Source organism: Homo sapiens, chromosome 10, assembly GCF_000001405.40.
Source record: "Homo sapiens chromosome 10, GRCh38.p14 Primary Assembly".
Taxonomy (NCBI): domain Eukaryota; kingdom Metazoa; phylum Chordata; class Mammalia; order Primates; family Hominidae; genus Homo; species Homo sapiens.
Genome location: NC_000010.11, coordinates 34,308,749 through 34,325,334, shown reverse-complemented (window position 1 = coordinate 34,325,334; position 16,586 = coordinate 34,308,749). Strand labels below are relative to the sequence as shown.

General features: G+C 38.7%; 1 protein-coding gene across 11 annotated transcripts in view; it reads left to right on the top strand.

Annotated features, from left to right (window-relative positions):
* PARD3 (par-3 family cell polarity regulator) overlaps window positions 1-16,586 on the top strand; it is a 705,736-nt gene that overhangs the window by 489,962 nt on the left and 199,188 nt on the right. For 8 of the 11 annotated variants that reach the window (NM_001184790.2, NM_001184791.2, NM_001184789.2 and 5 more), the window contains one exon: window positions 7,997-8,228. In NM_001184790.2, coding sequence (NP_001171719.1) covers window positions 7,997-8,228 — 232 coding nt within the window. Of the gene's footprint in view, window positions 1-7,996; window positions 8,229-12,952; window positions 13,074-16,586 lie in introns of those variants that run through there. The other 3 variants (NM_001184794.2, NM_001184793.2, NM_001184792.2) reach the window with 1 other exon arrangement.

Genomic DNA, 16,586 nt, shown 5'->3' with positions numbered 1-16,586 from the left:
GGGGCAGGTGAGAGCATAGTGAGGAGTGAGGTTTAAGATGTAGGTGCCTGTCATCCCAGCACTTTGGGTGGCTGAGGCAGGTGGATCACTTGAGATCAGGAGTTCGAGACCAGCCTGGCCAACATGGCGAGACCCCATCTCTACTAAAAATACAAAGATTAGCCAGGCGTGGTGCTGCATGCCTGTAATCTCAACTACTTCGGAGGCTGAGGCATGAGAATTGCTTGAACCCGGGAGGCGGAGGTTGCAGTGAGCCAAGATCACGCCACTACACTCCAGCTTGGGCGACAAAGCAAAACTCCATCTCAAAAAAAAAGATGTAGACAGCAAACCACAGACTATTTTAAATTACTTGCATTTCAAATAAAATAATATGATGGGACTCTGGGGTAGAGGGTGGCTTATTGAGATGGGATGATAAGTAGTAACGTCAGGGCAAGGAGCTAATTTCTGTGATAGTAGTACAATCATCCAGGTGAGCGATGATGCTTGGCAGTACCAGAGCAAAGGAAGAAACTGTTTACGGGCTTAGCGTCTCTCACACAAAGATGGATGATGATGATGATGTGATTTCTCTCATTAGCACTTCCAGGCTCAGAAACTTGGAATCATCATCTCACTGTGTCACCACTCCATTACCAAGCTTTCTTAATCTTTCCACATGTAATCTAATCTCACCCCTTACTTGCAGTCTAGGCCGGACCCTCGTTATTTAATATCAGAAGGTATTGCTAGTGTCTCCCAACTGGGCCTCCTGTCTCTAGATGTGCCCAGTGAGCTCTGCAGTCACCTTCTGACTCTCACAGCCCCTCAAGTGTCCGTGCTTACCCTTGCCTGTGCCATGCGGTGCACACTTCGTGAGGTGTATCTTCTTTCTTCCCCAGCCCTCTAATGTGTGTATATTATACTGTCATCTTCCTTCTCCAAGAAACTTTTCCCCCGACAATCTAGTTTTTCTTAAGCTCCAGCTGATTCTACACAGTGCATCCGAGACTTTTTAGTATAAATTATTTTTTTAACATCAGGAAATTTTTGCGGATCACTCAATATAGATTATGTTTCATGGTAGGTAAGAACATTCGCTTTTGGGAAGCAGGCATTCTGATTCCTCACACACACAAAAGCAAAGTAAAGCATTGCTAGCCATTCACTATTTTATAATCTCTAAACATTTTTATGCTGTTAATTTTTGTGTTTCACTCAAAAGAGTCTGAGCAGTGGCCTGAAATCTCTTTCTTTGACCATAAATAATAGTTTGTATGTTGTTCAAACAGACGTTGTGTACGTTAAGCTCACTCCTTGATTAAAATAAAATTCTCAGTGGCAATTCCAACTGTAGGGTTAGGAATGCTGTCATTTCGATTGTGTAGCCAGCCCTTTCGGTCAGAATTGGTTTTTAAAAAGCCTTCAGCTTCATTTTAAATTGTCCCCATGGACAGAAAACAGCATCCACTGTGGGCCGTCATTTGAATGTTAAAATCAGTTGGACACTAAAAGCGAATTTGCGAAGGTTCAGAAAATTGAGGGTGTGACCCTCATTGTGCCTGCTCTGCAACATTGTCTAGGGAAGGGAGGGATAATGGAGGTGACATTCTACCATTATCTGTGGGAGCATTTTACCTGCTTCATTTGAGGGGGATGGGTTAAAGAGAAGTTTAGAATGTCAAGTAAAAGTGAAGAAAGGTTTTTGGTAATAACTCTTTAAAAGAGTGATCCTATTGTTTTTCTTCCTTCACCCACATATATTGAAAGGTTTTTTAAAAATGAAATAGAGCTATTTTTAGAGTAGAGTGTCTGAGGAGTCATCTATTTGAACTTTCTCCCAGTTGCTGAAACCACTCTACAATACCACTAATAAATGTCACCTGATTCCTTCATAGCTTTTTTACCTCCTCACAGTCTTCATCATATCAGTTATTATTCTCACCCCATGTATTAGTCTAAAAGCTCTAAAGTCTTCCTGTTTCATGCCAGCTTTGTGTGTGTGTGGTTTCCTTTTTTTGGTTTTCAGGAAAAGCTAAGTTTTTCTGTTGCCAAGAGCTCATCATTCTAATGTTAAAAGTCAGAGTCCAGAAGAGCAGATCATGTTATTCGACACCATCTGTGTATCACTAGCTGTTCATTTCCTACATCTTTCTTTCTCTTCCAAAGTCAAAGTGTTCCACCAAAATAAGAAATAAAAACAATATTTATGTCCCCAGCGTTCTTGATTCCTATGCAGGAGTTTGCAGCGACTGAAAGTCCAGTCCTCATTTAGTTGTATTATCTTTTTACCTAACACTAACAGAAATTGGTAGTGGTCAGTGGATTTACTAAATCCAGTGAAATTTTCTATTTTGAATGTCTCATTTTAACTTAAAAGTTTTGTTTTAAGAATATAGCTTGTGAAGACTGAGTCACCCTGTGTAGAATTTTTACATTTCATCCTTTATCTTTCAATATAAATTGTAAATTGCTCAAGTATCTGTGTTCCTATTACTAAGTATTCCTAATTCTAAGGTAGTTCATAGTTAAATGGGTGCAACAAAGGGCAGTTCTTCATATTGTTGGCTGCTTATTCAGTCCTTCATTTAATTGCTCAGTGAGTATTTAATGATGCTTCTTGGGGCCTCTCCCTCAGAGGAGAGTATTGTTGAGTTTTAAATACAAAGTAATACTATGATATTTTCGTTTTGTATATCTCTATTTATACCCATTGAACAATTCATTTTAATCTAGTAGCAAATCTAAACAAATTATTTAAATCTAGTAAAATTGCCAAAGCTACCTAAAATGATATTTACTGCTAAATTATACACTTAAGACAAATAACACAATAGATATTCCACAGTTGCTCTAACACTTGCTTTATGCAGTGTACCTTTTAGGATGCTTTCAGCTATATGTAATAGAAAGTGCAACTCAGACCAACTCAAACAATAAGGAAATACATTTTCCTACATAACTTGAGTTCTAGAGTTCTTCAGAGAGATTTCTCCAAAGACCCAACATTTTTCTGCCCCTTCTGCTCTGCTATCCATGAGTCAGCTACCCACAAAATAATTCCATAATTCAGCTATCCATAGGGTAATTTTAGGGCTCAGAGGCCTTTTACTGTCTTATTGCTGTCTAACAGAAGGGAATGAGCCCTCTCCCTAAGCATGGATATGTCCATTGAGTCCAACGGGGCCATTCTTGGTCTGATAACCTTGGACTGGCAAGTCTGCAGGGGTATGGCATCCATAAACTTAATAATGAATTCACCCCTTGGAGCTAGGTTGCATTCCTGGACACAGAGTTCTATTAGGAAGAATAAAGGGAGAAATGGATTTTGGATAAGCGGCCAACAGAAATTATAGTATCAACAGTAGCATCACTTCTCAATGGGGGGGGGAAATAGACTCTAATGACCTTGAGGCTTTGAGTCAACCTTGACTGTAAAATGTTTGTAAAGTTTAGATAGAAATAGATTATTTATGGCAGTAGCTGCAGAACTTTGCACTTCAATGAAAACCCAAAGTCATTTTCTCCATCATCATTAACACGTAAATGCCCGATCTTTTCCAAACTTGTTGGTGATCCAGTCCTAACATGATACCTTTCAGAGTTGAGTGCCTTAATTTGTAACATGGACTAGAATTTTAATTGAGCTCCATTTGCATCTGTTGAAAACATGGTAATTAGGTATGTCTTAATTGCAGAATGACTCTGCCACATTAAAGAGAAATAAGCAGCTTCATGCTACACCTTCTTTAAAAAAAGAAACTTGAAAGTGCCTATCTTTATAGGTAATCACATGGAAACATAGCTGATAGTTCAGTGCATAGAGCAGGTTTAAACAGGCAGAAATGTTGTCAAAAATGGAAATTTCTATTTGTTTGGAAGGAGATAATCATCGCTCTTTGTGTAGGGTATCTGCAAAAGGAAAGCAAATAGTCTGTCAAAATGAGCAAAATTAAAGAGAAAAAAATCAAGAAATGTATATAGCACTTAAAATAGTACATTATCTAAATGTAAATTTATGATTAGTTCTTACCTTGTAATTTGCTGTATGAACACAATAGATCAAGCCATTTATTGCTGATATATTACTAGTACTTTTCTTACTTGAAAAATTGTTTATATGCATGTTCGTTTAAGGGAATAAAGATATTTTATGTACCTAATTATAAAGCTAGTATTAAATGTACAGATTTATTTTAAAACCTAAAATCTGACTAGTACATCAGTGACTTTGAATATGTATATTTTTTTCAAAAATTAAGCATGTGTAACCAATTTATTTGAGCTTTTGAAACTACAATATTTCTGCATAGGAGCAGGATAAAGATTTTTCTCTATCAAATAATTTCAGAATTTGAAGTATATATAATTCAGTACTTTAAAAGAACATCTTATGTTTGTACATATGAAGCTACATATTGCTAAATATTTTTAATTAGTTGGCATTCAAAGGGATTAGTTAAATCAGTACACCCCCAGAAGAGTTTCTGTGATAATGTATTATCTAATTTAGAATGTTCAGAACAAGCATAAAGAATCCTCCAATGTGCAAGTGTCATTTTAAACAGTCCACTGGCTTGGGGCAGGAAACAGAGGTAGGACTTTTAATTTTATAAAATGAGGTTACAAAACCTGAAGCTAATAATTGATTTCATACTACTTTATTTCACATACTTTAGAAAATAAGTTGTGTTACATACACCAGAAAATTATTTTGAATATGAAAAGAATTGGCAACAAACGTGACTTCAGCATATAGTGAGTTGTGAAGGCACTGCCATTATTCTGTTCCCAAGCCAAGAGCCGACATATGCCCCTTGAACTTCTGCCAAAACTATTAGGCAGAAAACTAACAGAATCGCTACTGATAGTTCCATTCATGATTTATGATAATGGTTGCTGTGGAAGACTAAATCATTTACATTTATTGAGCTCATTTTTCTGTTTATAGTTTCAGACATTGTAGAGGGTCGTAAAATCTATTAAATGATGCATACAGCACTAACAATAATAGCATGAAAATATACCAGAAACTAATTAGAGCTAAACCAAATATCATGAGCATTCCTACCTAGTGTTACTGTAGTCAGATTGTGGCTAGTCTTGTCAGGCTTGATGAGAGAACAGTAAGCATTTTTCTAAAGCTAGAGGAATGGTGATACCTGGCGATTAGATAAAGTTTTGGTCAGGATAAAGTCACAAGTCAGTTTTTACCAAAAGTCTTTCATTTATGCAGCCATTTATGAGCAGCTGCTGTTTGCCCCACAGTCTTCATTTGAGGAGCTTAGAGAATGGGAGGGAGACATGTATGTGATATCATATGAGAAGTGCAATAATAAAAGATTGTACAAATAAAGAGCTTTGGAAGTATAGGTGAAAGGAGGTTTCCATGCAGGAATTATACAAAATTCACTAGCTTCCATTTATCTAGTTTGAGTATACCAATAGACCTAGGTTTTTATAGCTCCAGAGAACTTCTGGGAATTGTTCTGTAATTATTTGGTCAATTATCTCACATTTGTGGCCACACCCATATCTCAAAAACCTGAAGTACTGGTTCACAAGCAGATAGAACACAGCCATGTTCAAGGGCATTAAGCAACACACTACAGCCCTGCTTGAGCTATGTTTACATTCTTTGGGGGAGCTCTCATTTGAAAAGGCTGCACATAATTAGTAAGCCCTTGGGCCAACTGCCAGGATATTCTTTCCCTGCTCTGTGTACACCACAAAAAATTATAGCCTGAACTCAGTATTATTTGTAAGATTATGGATTTTCACTATGTCCTTCTAGTTGTAACTGGCTTCTTCTAATAAACGTGCACAATTACTATTTATATCTTAATAGCGAGGAAAAGGAGCAAATTTTCTTAAAAGCCACCATGTCCTTTGGAGGAAGACAATGGCTTACAATGAGATAACTCGCAGTTCAGAGGAAGGCTAACGTTTCTGAAGTCATTTATATGCTTGGGCTGGGTGTGACTCACCCCTGTAATCCCAGCACTTTGGGAGGAGAGGCTGGTGGATCATGAGGTCAAGAGATCGAGACCATCCTGGCCAACATGGTGAATTCCTATCTCTACTAAAAATACAAAAATTAGCTGGGTGTGGTGGCGTGTGCCTGTAGTCCCAGCTACTTGGGGGGCTGAGGCAGGAGAATCACATGAACCCGGGAGGTGGAGATTGCAGTGAGCCAAGATCACACCACTGTACTCCAGCCTGGTGACAGAGTGAAACTCCGTCTCAAGAAGAAGAAAAAAAAAAAAAAAAAAAAGTCTGGGTGCAGTGGCTCACTCCTGTAATCCCAGCACTTTGGGAGGCCGAGGCGGGGAGATCACGAGGTCAGGAGCTCAAGACCAGCCTGGCCAACATAGTGAAACTCTACTACTAAAAATACAAAACTACTAAAAATACAAAAAATTAGCTGGGCGTGGTGGTGGGCGCCTGTAATCCCAGCTACTCGGGAGGCTGAGGCAGGAGAATGGCTTGAACCCAGGAGGCGGAGGTTGCAGTGAGTCGAGATCACACCACTGCACTCCAGCCTGGGCGACAGAGCGAGACTCAGCCTCAAAAAAATAAAAAAAATAAAAAAATTCTGAGCTTTGTTTTTTGCATTATGATAAATAGCTGGCTTTTTAACAAAAAAACACAACTGTGTTACTTGGGCGTAGCTATACCACCATTTGATAGTCTCTTTTCAGATTTGTGAGGGTTTAATAGCAGAAATCTAAGATATTGGGACCCTTTTAGCTGGTCTTATTATACCCACGATAATTGTGTATTGCTATTGAAAGTGCTCCTTGCTGGTAGAGAGGAAGGACTGAATTTTACTGAGGATATATTAACTTGATTTGGAGGTCAGTTCTTTGCAAAAGTTTGGGAAGAGGCCGAACCATTCTGTTTGGCTCTTTGTTATAAGAAACTCAGAAATAATGATCTATACTTTCTTTGTTGATGCTGGAAAAAGAAAAATGACTTAAGAATTCACGGAGTAATTAACCTTATGGCCCCCTATAATTCTCATTGTATTTGGAGGAGAACCTTAGGTGACCAGTCTCGAAAGAAAGATTTCTGAGAGTGGATGTTCATACGTGTCTCTCTGCTTCTTATTTAATAGAGAAATGTTTAAGCTCTTTTGGTAGGGGGAGACTTACTTCAGTTACTTGTCGTTCTTTCAACTGCAAAAAGTTTGGGGTATTGAAGTGCCCTTGGACCATGTGCTTACGAAGTGTTGGTTCAAGGAATGGAATATTGTTATCACTAAGCAGATCTTTTATCTGCAAAGTCCAGAGAAGTGCACTTATTGATTTACTCATTTTCATGGCTCCCTCTACCTCTGTTCAGCCGCCATGATGCAGATAGGCATGCAAGATTGTTTAGGATTAGAATATATAGTAGCATTTACTTCTGATGTTGGCCTTATGCAAAGAAGAGTTACAGAGGCTGTGCAGATCTGTTGTAGATATAAGCCAAAATAATCTGCTCTTCTGTGTGAGCAGGATATGTTGGGAGCCTAAGGAAAGAAGTCCTTGTGCTGACATTGAATGGTGTAGTCCAGCAAATTAATGAGGGGCCAGAGTGTATCTGCATTATTCTTACCCAAGAAGAAAGGAAGCACTTTGGGAAGGCCTGCTTATTTTCTTTCTTTTCATCTTGCAAATATAGTACACGGGACCCTTAGAGGTCTGCGCTGTATAACAAGGTCTTGCTGGCACCCCCCTAGTAGTGTACAATCTGATTCTTAGAGGGTGTTTCTGTGGGTGCATCAGCATCCCACCAGGAAGCTGCTGTTTTGCTGCTACTGACTTGGCACACGATCTTCACGTAGGAGGCATCCACATCACATGTTCCATTTTAATTCTACTCAAAGTTAAACAGCATTGCAGTCCATGTTGCTAGCAGGGCCATACTGCAGTAAAAGTGTGGGAAAGTAAAGTCCTTGAATGTATTTTAGCTTTATTATTTTTGTTGCGTTGGTTCACTGTGTCCCTATTTTTTTTTCTTTCCTTCCAAGTGGAAGAAGACACAGAAGAAAGTTCAAGATCAGGGAGAGAGTCTGTATCCACAGCCAGTGATCAGCCTTCCCACTCTCTGGAGAGACAAATGAATGGAAACCAAGAGAAAGGTGATAAGACTGATAGAAAAAAGGATAAAACTGGAAAAGAAAAGAAGAAAGATAGAGATAAGGAGAAGGATAAAATGAAAGCCAAGAAGGGAATGCTGAAGGGCTTGGGAGACATGTTCAGGTAAGTCGTTACCATCCCAAACCAGAATCTCCTTAAACATACAGGAGTGTGAGCTTAGCAAAAAGTACTAAAAACTGGACACGGTAGTGCACACCTGTAATCCCAGCTACTTGGGAGGCTGAACTGGGAGGAATGCTGGAGCCCAGGATTCCAAATCCAGCCTGGGCAACAGATCATTCCATTCTCTCTCTAAAATAAATAAATAAATAAATAAAAGCACTGAAAGCACAGATTTGAAAACATTATCTTTGAGATCAACCAAAATTCTTGTATAATCTTTTCCTACCTCATTTTTACTTTGTTATGGATTTCATGTTAGCTATTTTCAGACTATTTTAGCAGCCTAAATGATTATATCTTGCCAACCATGTAAATAATTGTTGAGAGGTAGGAGGGACATGTCTGTATCTTAGTTATGCATAAGAGTGAAAGCCCCATTGAGACAAAGGGCTATTAAAGCAGTGTTTGTTCTTTTTTGTGTGTGAACAATGGTTCATTATTTAAATTTAAACATAGAGCTCAAGTTAGTGGTAGCATTTAAAGGTTCATTAATAACAAGTCTAATAAAAAAAGTTACAAATAGAGCTTCAATTAAGCTGCGTTCATTAATTTAGTACTTATTACTTCGGTCTGTAAAGATTTCATTAAATGTGGTCTCTGGCTGTTTCTTGACAGTTGTTTTTGTGCCCATAAATTATACTCTAGGATTACTTAGCATATCATTTTTTACAAATCATTGCCATACAATAAAAGTGACAAGTTGTTCAGAAGTTGCACTGAAACTCTCCCATAAAAGTTCATCTAAGATGATTTATAATATTCAGGCACTTAATGTTAAATATAAAGATTGCTTGATTGTTCCATAAATTAAACCCCTAAACATATCAAGGTGATGGTTTAAAATTGAAAACATACAGCACAGCCATTTGACTTTTCAAAAAGTAGTTATCCTGCATTATGGATCCCCTCTTTTTAAAAACTTTTTTTTAAATTGCAAAATGTGAACAACAGTTTTCATTTTCATAGAATTAGTTGATTTACAATCCTGAAATTGACCTCCATAACTCAGGGAGGTATAGATAAGTCAGACCTGGAAAGTCGAGGAACCATGGCCCAGCCTGAAGGCTACACAGCTCAACAGATGTGTTCTGTAGATGTCTGATTAAGTGCATAGAAGAAGGAGAGTTAACTCTAGACTTATATTAACACAAAGCCTGGCCTATGAGCAGTATTTTCTTTCAATGTGATTAGATTTCTGTCTCTCAGTGCTTCAGAACTGTGGGATTTTCATAGTTTTTCATTAGAGTTTTTCTAGTTTACACAGGGCCCCCTCATCATGTTTCTTCATTATACTCTGTGTTCAAGAATCATATAGGAAGAAATTGCTCTAACTGCCACTTTATTTCAATTTCTGTGTTAGCCAAGGGCCTTTTTGTTCCATATGTGCAGACTGACAGCTCATAAACTGGCACCTCCACAGTGCACAGAAATAAGGCTGCTGCCCATCAGTTAACATGGAAGGAATCTGTACTACTGTCTTCTTCAAATTACAGGGTTAGAGATGGGAGAAACCTTCCCCTGAGACTTGTAGCCCACTCTCTCTTCCAGGGGCTCTCCTGACGTCTTACTGAAAGCTCTAACGGCTTGTTAGTTTTCATTCATTGGCCAACATTTATCTGTTTAAGTGCTCTGTTCTGGTCTTGGAGTAAAAAATATACTTCTAATATCTTAGAATTCCATTAATTATAAGTGATCTTTTTCTGTAACCTGCAACTCCAGAAGAAAGAAAGGCCTATGGTAGAGCTTTCTATCTGGGGCCAGAGGAGCAGAGTGTGGGAGAAATGTGTATTGTTTCTAAGGGACCTTGAAGAACACCACCACACAACTCTCTTTTTTCTAGGAGTCCTATCAAGCATTACATGATGCTTTCTCTAGATCATTATCTACAGCCTGTACCCATAACCTATAATGAAAGCCAGCTTTATGATAAAGAAGTTGACCCTGCATATTCTTGGAAATAAAATTCTATATGCAGGTGCAGGGGCTGAAGGTTTTTTTTTCCCCCTAAAAATTAGGCTGATATTCTCCCAGTGTTTAAGAATGACTGTTAAGAAAATAACAGACATTCATACTTTTTTAGGTATGTGGAATCATTGGTTTATTGGAATCAGCCCACCTTGGCTGGTGAGAGCCAATTGATCAATTTTTAGAAACTTTGCAAGCTGGTTGTCAAACACAGCCATTATTAAAAATTAAATACATTATCTAAAAAGCAAAGGTAATTAATACTTGAAATGCATCACTTCCTAATTATTTTTGCTATACTTTACTATGATCTCTGCTTTTGAAATTATTTACATTTATGGCATGGACATAGGGCTAATACTATATAATGACGACTGTGCAGCTTTTCCCGGCCCCGTGTTTAGTGACATCATGCTGGTAGCTGAAAATTTGCCATGGTGGCAGTGTTTACACCAGGAAGTCTATGGAATTCCACAAAACAGAGTTCTTCTCCCAGCAGAGCAACATAGCACCCCACGGTGAACATAAATACCTTTGACCAGAGTGGCAGCATCTTGTCTAGTGCCCCTGGGCATGGCTGGGTTCTATCAGATTGCAAACCACTGCGCCAGCCCTTTCCCAATGGGTTGCCACATATTGCCCCTTGAATATGAGTTCAGAATAATATATTAAACACGAAATAAGCTTTTTTGTTATTGAATGTTGGCTCTTGATCCTTCCTTCACACGATGAGGATAGTCATTAGTCTTTGAGAAGACTGTTAAAGCATTGTTAGATTTTTCAAAACATTCTTTTAAACTACCTTCCTTCCATACCTTCTGGATCTGATTGTTTGAGATGAATATACCCTCAGGTTGATTCTTTTACGTTTCCTTCTTTTTTTTTTTTCTCCTAACAACATAGGGGACTACAGTAAGATTTAAAAATTGGTCTCTTCCTTTCTCTTTGTTCTTTTAAGAAAACTAGGATGTGGTTTCCTTAGCAGTGCTGCTTTTAAACAGCTTAATCAGAACATGCATGTGCACATATATTTCTTAGTACGGTTTGCAAGAGGGTTCAAGTATGGAGGACCGTGCAGGCCTGAAGTATAAAGTAGGGGTGTGTCTGTGTGTGTGATCCTTTTCTTTCTATCTTGTAGCTCAGAAAACAAAAGGCTAAGGGACATTCAGTAGTGGGAGTCTAGTTTTGTAGGTAAATATAGCAGCACATGAGCTTGTTCTCTTTAGTCTGCCTGAGGAAGTAATATGTTTTCCTTTAAAAACAGGCTCACAGGCTCTCCTCCCTCTACCATCCTGTCCTACCCCCATCATCCTGTTGCCTCCCTGCAACTCCCACTCATACACTATTCCTACCCCAACAGGTTGTCTGTGATATTTGGTTAAATATGATGAGGGTCAAATAGATAGGCCTTGTTTTAAAAACTCTACCAGAGGAAATGATGGTACCTTGAGTAGATATTTTTAGTCATTGGCATATACAGACAGCATGGTTTTCTGTTTGACACATTGAATGGTAGTCACAAAGATGATTTAATTATTAATAAACAGCTCTAGGAAAGAATGTGAGTCATATGAATCACTCTTCTGTTTATAAATTATGGAGTATATGAACTACAAAAGCCGCCTTAATGCAAGTCTTAAATCAGAAATTTAAATCTATAAGGAATCAAATAACAAATGCAAAGTTTTTCCTGTTTGTATTAATTTCTCCTCATACATACTACATCTTTTGCACACAAGGAGCTTCTATCACCTTAATTAAAATGGCTTTGTATCTAAGAAACCTGAGTGTGCTTACAAAACAGGTAAACATGACTTGTAAATGTAATCATTCTGTGTGCAGATTGCAGAGCAAAGCGGGGAGCACAAAGTTTGAGTCTGTGTATGTTTGATTCTCAGACACTCGGCTATTCAAATTTAATACTGGAGGATATTTCTGAGAATTCTTCAATTGTATGAAATTGTCACGAAAGAGGAAATTGAGTATGTACTTTAGGAGGAGGGAGATATGTTTTTTAATGTTTTAAATGTGTTCGTTTTTAAAGGAAAGCAGCCTTCTTAAGCAACATGGTTTTGCCTTAGTTTTTAATCTCCAAATTGAAATAACCAGCAAGATAATAAAATACTGTATTGTCAGATATTAAGAAGTTAAAATCATGTGCTCGCTTTTTGTGAGCCCTAGAGTAAGTGTAATTTGATATTGCTTTGCTGCAAAATTGGAACTGTTATCGTTTGAATATCATAGAATTGTATGTACTCTAAAACTGAAGGTTCTTAGACGTGACCTTATTGTACATGTCTCAGATTTATTTCTAGCTGTTGTCCATATGTGATAGCTGAGAACCTATCACTGCAGAAAGCTAAAGCAAAAGAAATGTTGCAATATTACCATTAAAATTGAATCCTCCAATTACATTTAAAATGATTACCTGGGTCCCCGAAGCATTGTTTTATTCAGTTTTGAAGAGGAAATAGATAATTTAGTTTGTAACCTTGTTTGGCTGAAATCAGATTTATTGCTCTCTTTTCCTTTTTAGAATATGATCATTTTCAGAACACAATGAACATAATCAGGTTTTAAAAACTGAATGTCGTAGTTTGGATTATACATCTTAGGCATTTGAGAAAAGAACAAACACAGATTCTTGTTGCTTTCCTCACCTGTACTAACTGTGTGTCTGTACCGTGTCTCTCATTTAGCCTTGCCAAACTGAAGCCCGAGAAGAGATGAACAACAAAGCGATTCAAAACATGTCTTGAACAGCACATATTGCACAGTTGTTGTTTTTTTTAAACAAACAATAAATTTACTTTTAATGAATTCTTAGTGGCTGTTGACGAATTTTGTTTACGACATCAGCAGTTTGATGGTTTAGTAATTTCCTTATTAATCCATTTGGAACTTTTGGATCTTGATTTCAAGCTTGGGGTTTAAATTACGCTTGAAAAGGCAGAGACGTGTTTTTTTCTCTTTCCTTTCTTTATTGGCCCCTTTTCATAGTGGAAAACCATAGTCCTCTCACTGCTGGCGTATTCAGAAATCATCAGCACACACCCATTGGATATTAGAATCAGAGTTTTCAAGATTCTGTAAAGGGCCACCACCCATTTGGTTGTGTTGTGTAACCACCAGTGACTTTGGGACACAGGCAGATGTTACAGGTGATTCAGGGCAGAGGCAAAGAGGTGTGTGGGCTGGTACAGTCACCCATCAGGGATGAGATGCAACGGATAGATTCATGACCAGATGGACCAGTTTGAAAGGGCCTTTTTGGCAAAGGTTTCAGTCCCTTTGTGGATTACAGAGTTTAGACCAAAAATGGGTGGTTGGCAGGGGGGTGGTGGTGTAGGAAAATAAATTTCTGTGCTTAGATGGCTGAACCAGCAGGTTCTTCCCGTGTGAAAAAAGCAGAGCTACTTTGGCATATAGTAATCCCAAGGTTTGCTGAGACCACGTGTCGAGAGAGCACACACTCTTTCATAAATGTTTCTGGAAAGAGTCTGCCCGGCCAAGTGTTCGAATCACAGATCCAATGCTAGTGCAGGTGGATCTCCAATGGTCCTTACTGTGGTTTGAAGCCTTCTCTCTTGTAAGAAGCCTTAATTCACAGTTTCATTATTCATGGCTTCCCAGGATTTGAGACAGAGACTGTATATTTAATTAACTCTTTTTCCTGAAAATGTTAGCATTGCATTCTTACTGAAAATAAACATGGGTTGGGTTCATTGGCTCACACCTGTAATTCCAGGCACAGGAGTTCGAGACGAGCCTGGGCCACACAGTAAGGCCCTGTCTCTATTAAAAAAAATAAATAAAAAAAAATAAATAACTGAAGTCTTGAAAACCATCTGATAAAGGGTATTGTGGATTGGGTTGAGTGCCTGTGAGAAGGCTTGACCTCTGCTCTGACTTGAAAGCAGTTTGCAGTTCTACCCTCGCCCCCGCCCAAGTGAAAGCCCTCAGTTCTAGTAAGGAGACACACAGAAGAGTGTTTATTTGTCATGCTAGTTTTTTATGACTTGGACCTAATTGCCATGGGGATTAATGTGACCAGTTTCACATTGGTACATCAAGTGGCATCCTGTGCAATCTGCTGATGATTTAAGGAATACAGTTAAAGTAAGCACATAGAAAACAATGCTTCTCCAAATGAAACACAGTGAGATTTTACATAATTTTATTTGCTTTCTTGTTTGTCACCTGGACAAAGAACAGCTCTGTTTTGTGATTATACACCCTGGGAGGTTTCCTTGGAGTGAGTTCTGAATTTGTAAATCCTAAGGACTTAATGTATGCTTCTATTAATTTGAATTGAAACAGAGGTTCCCATTTTTAACACAGGAAAATAAATGTCCAACTGACCTGCTAGCAAAGACAAGTTCTAAGGTAGCTGATATCATATTCTTCAAGTATTCTTCTTTTCCTGGTTAGCAGTTTTAAATAGAGAACCTCTGACATCCACAGCGCCCAGGCTGAATGCAGAGGAAGCTGAGGAGGCACAAAGCATGACGGCTGGGCCTCTCTCAGACCTTTTCTGACATTCTTTAATGTTTCTTTTCCATAGACCTGTGGCATGAATATAGAATGCAGGTGTCAAGGATGACACCTACTTGATAGTCTCTCTAAAGCAAACCTTTTCGCAAAAGAAATTCTTGACAGTTCTGAGATGCTAAGTCAATTTCAATTCCAGGCTGTGTGGAAAATGGAATCTTTTTTCTGCAATTGATGTGAAAATTGAAGGCTACTGACTATTCACTTTCTAATAACACAGGGTAAATAAATACTATCGCACCATTGAAAAATGCACTTAGAAGACAAGCTCAGCTAATGATATTCACCACAACATATGTTGGAAATATTCCTTGTGAATGCTTTTACTTGTTACCATTAAGGTTCCATATTGTTTACATTAAATATAATAGATCAAGTACATGTTACTCCTAAATGTACTTGTATCAAGCCACAAATTAGTATATAAAGGTAATTGTTTTGTCCTGACAATCTTTTAAAGAATTCACTGGGGGATCTCTTTCCTAATTGAGCGTTGAATGGTTTTCTTCTGACCTATGTTTAATAATAGCCAATTTAGAAGCAAAAGACTAAAATCAGATTAAATTTTGGATCATAGTGAAATAACCAGGTCTCCTATTAACCTCTCTGCTTGCAGTTTTTTTTTTTTTTTTTTGGATGGTTGATCCTTTTCCCCACTTGCATCTCATGCTTTAAGCCAAGAGCCAAACCATTCTGGTCCTCTCTTGCCTCCTGCAAGCAATTCATAATTCTTTCTGCATCATCCATGACTACTCTTTTCTTCTTGGGGGGGCGGGGGGGTGGGGGAGATGGTTGAACCTCTGCCCCCACCTCCATCCCATGCTGTAAGCCAAGGCCAAGCTCCCAAAAAACCATTCTGGTCCTCTCTTCCCTCTTGCAGGACATTGCCCCAACAATGTTTAATTATTTCTTCTCTCTTCTAAATCCATCTGATCCATCTGTGTCTGCCTTTTTTTTTTTTTTTTTTTTTTTTTTTTTTTTTGGAGACAGGGTCTTGCTCAGCAGGAGTACAGTGGTGCAATCATGCCTCACTGCACCTTGAACTGCTGGGCTCAAGTGATGCTCCCACCTCAGCCTTCCCAGTAGCTGGGACTACAGGCGTGCACCACTGTGCCTACTACTTTTTAAATTTTATATAGAGGTGGGATCTCACTTTGTTGACCAGGTTGGTCTCAAACTTCTGGCCTCAAGCAATCCTCTGGCCTCTGCCTCCCAGCATGCTGAGATGAGGCATGAGCCACTGCCCCTGGCATTGCTCTTCTCTCTACAGGATCATTCACATTGTTTTGCACCATGCTGTTACCTCCTCCATCTTAGAGAAAATTCTCTCTTAGCCCTACTTACTCTCCAACTACGATCTCATGTCCTCTTGCCCACCACAGCAGACCCTTTGATATATTTGCTGTCTCTTTTTTCCGATTCTCTCTTGAACTTGCTTCAATGAATCCTTCACCCCTTCCACTCAGCAAATCCTGTTCTCGTCCAGGTCACCAGTTCCTCTTCCTTGGGAAGTCGGGGTCCATTTTCATCCCTCATCGTGGTCCACTGGCAGTACCCAGCATGTTAATCATGGCTCTCCTTTGAGACCAACTTTGCCAGCTTTCCCTCCTCCTCCCTGGCCTACCCTGTCTTGTCTCCTTTGCTAATTCTGTGCCATACTCTGTCCTCCAGGTCTTGTGCCCCAGGTGCTCAGTCCGAAGTCCTTTTGTTTTCTCTTTTTGGTAACACAGAATTTTGATATTCTCAGGAAACAGCCTTTGTGATCCAAATACAGCCTATAGG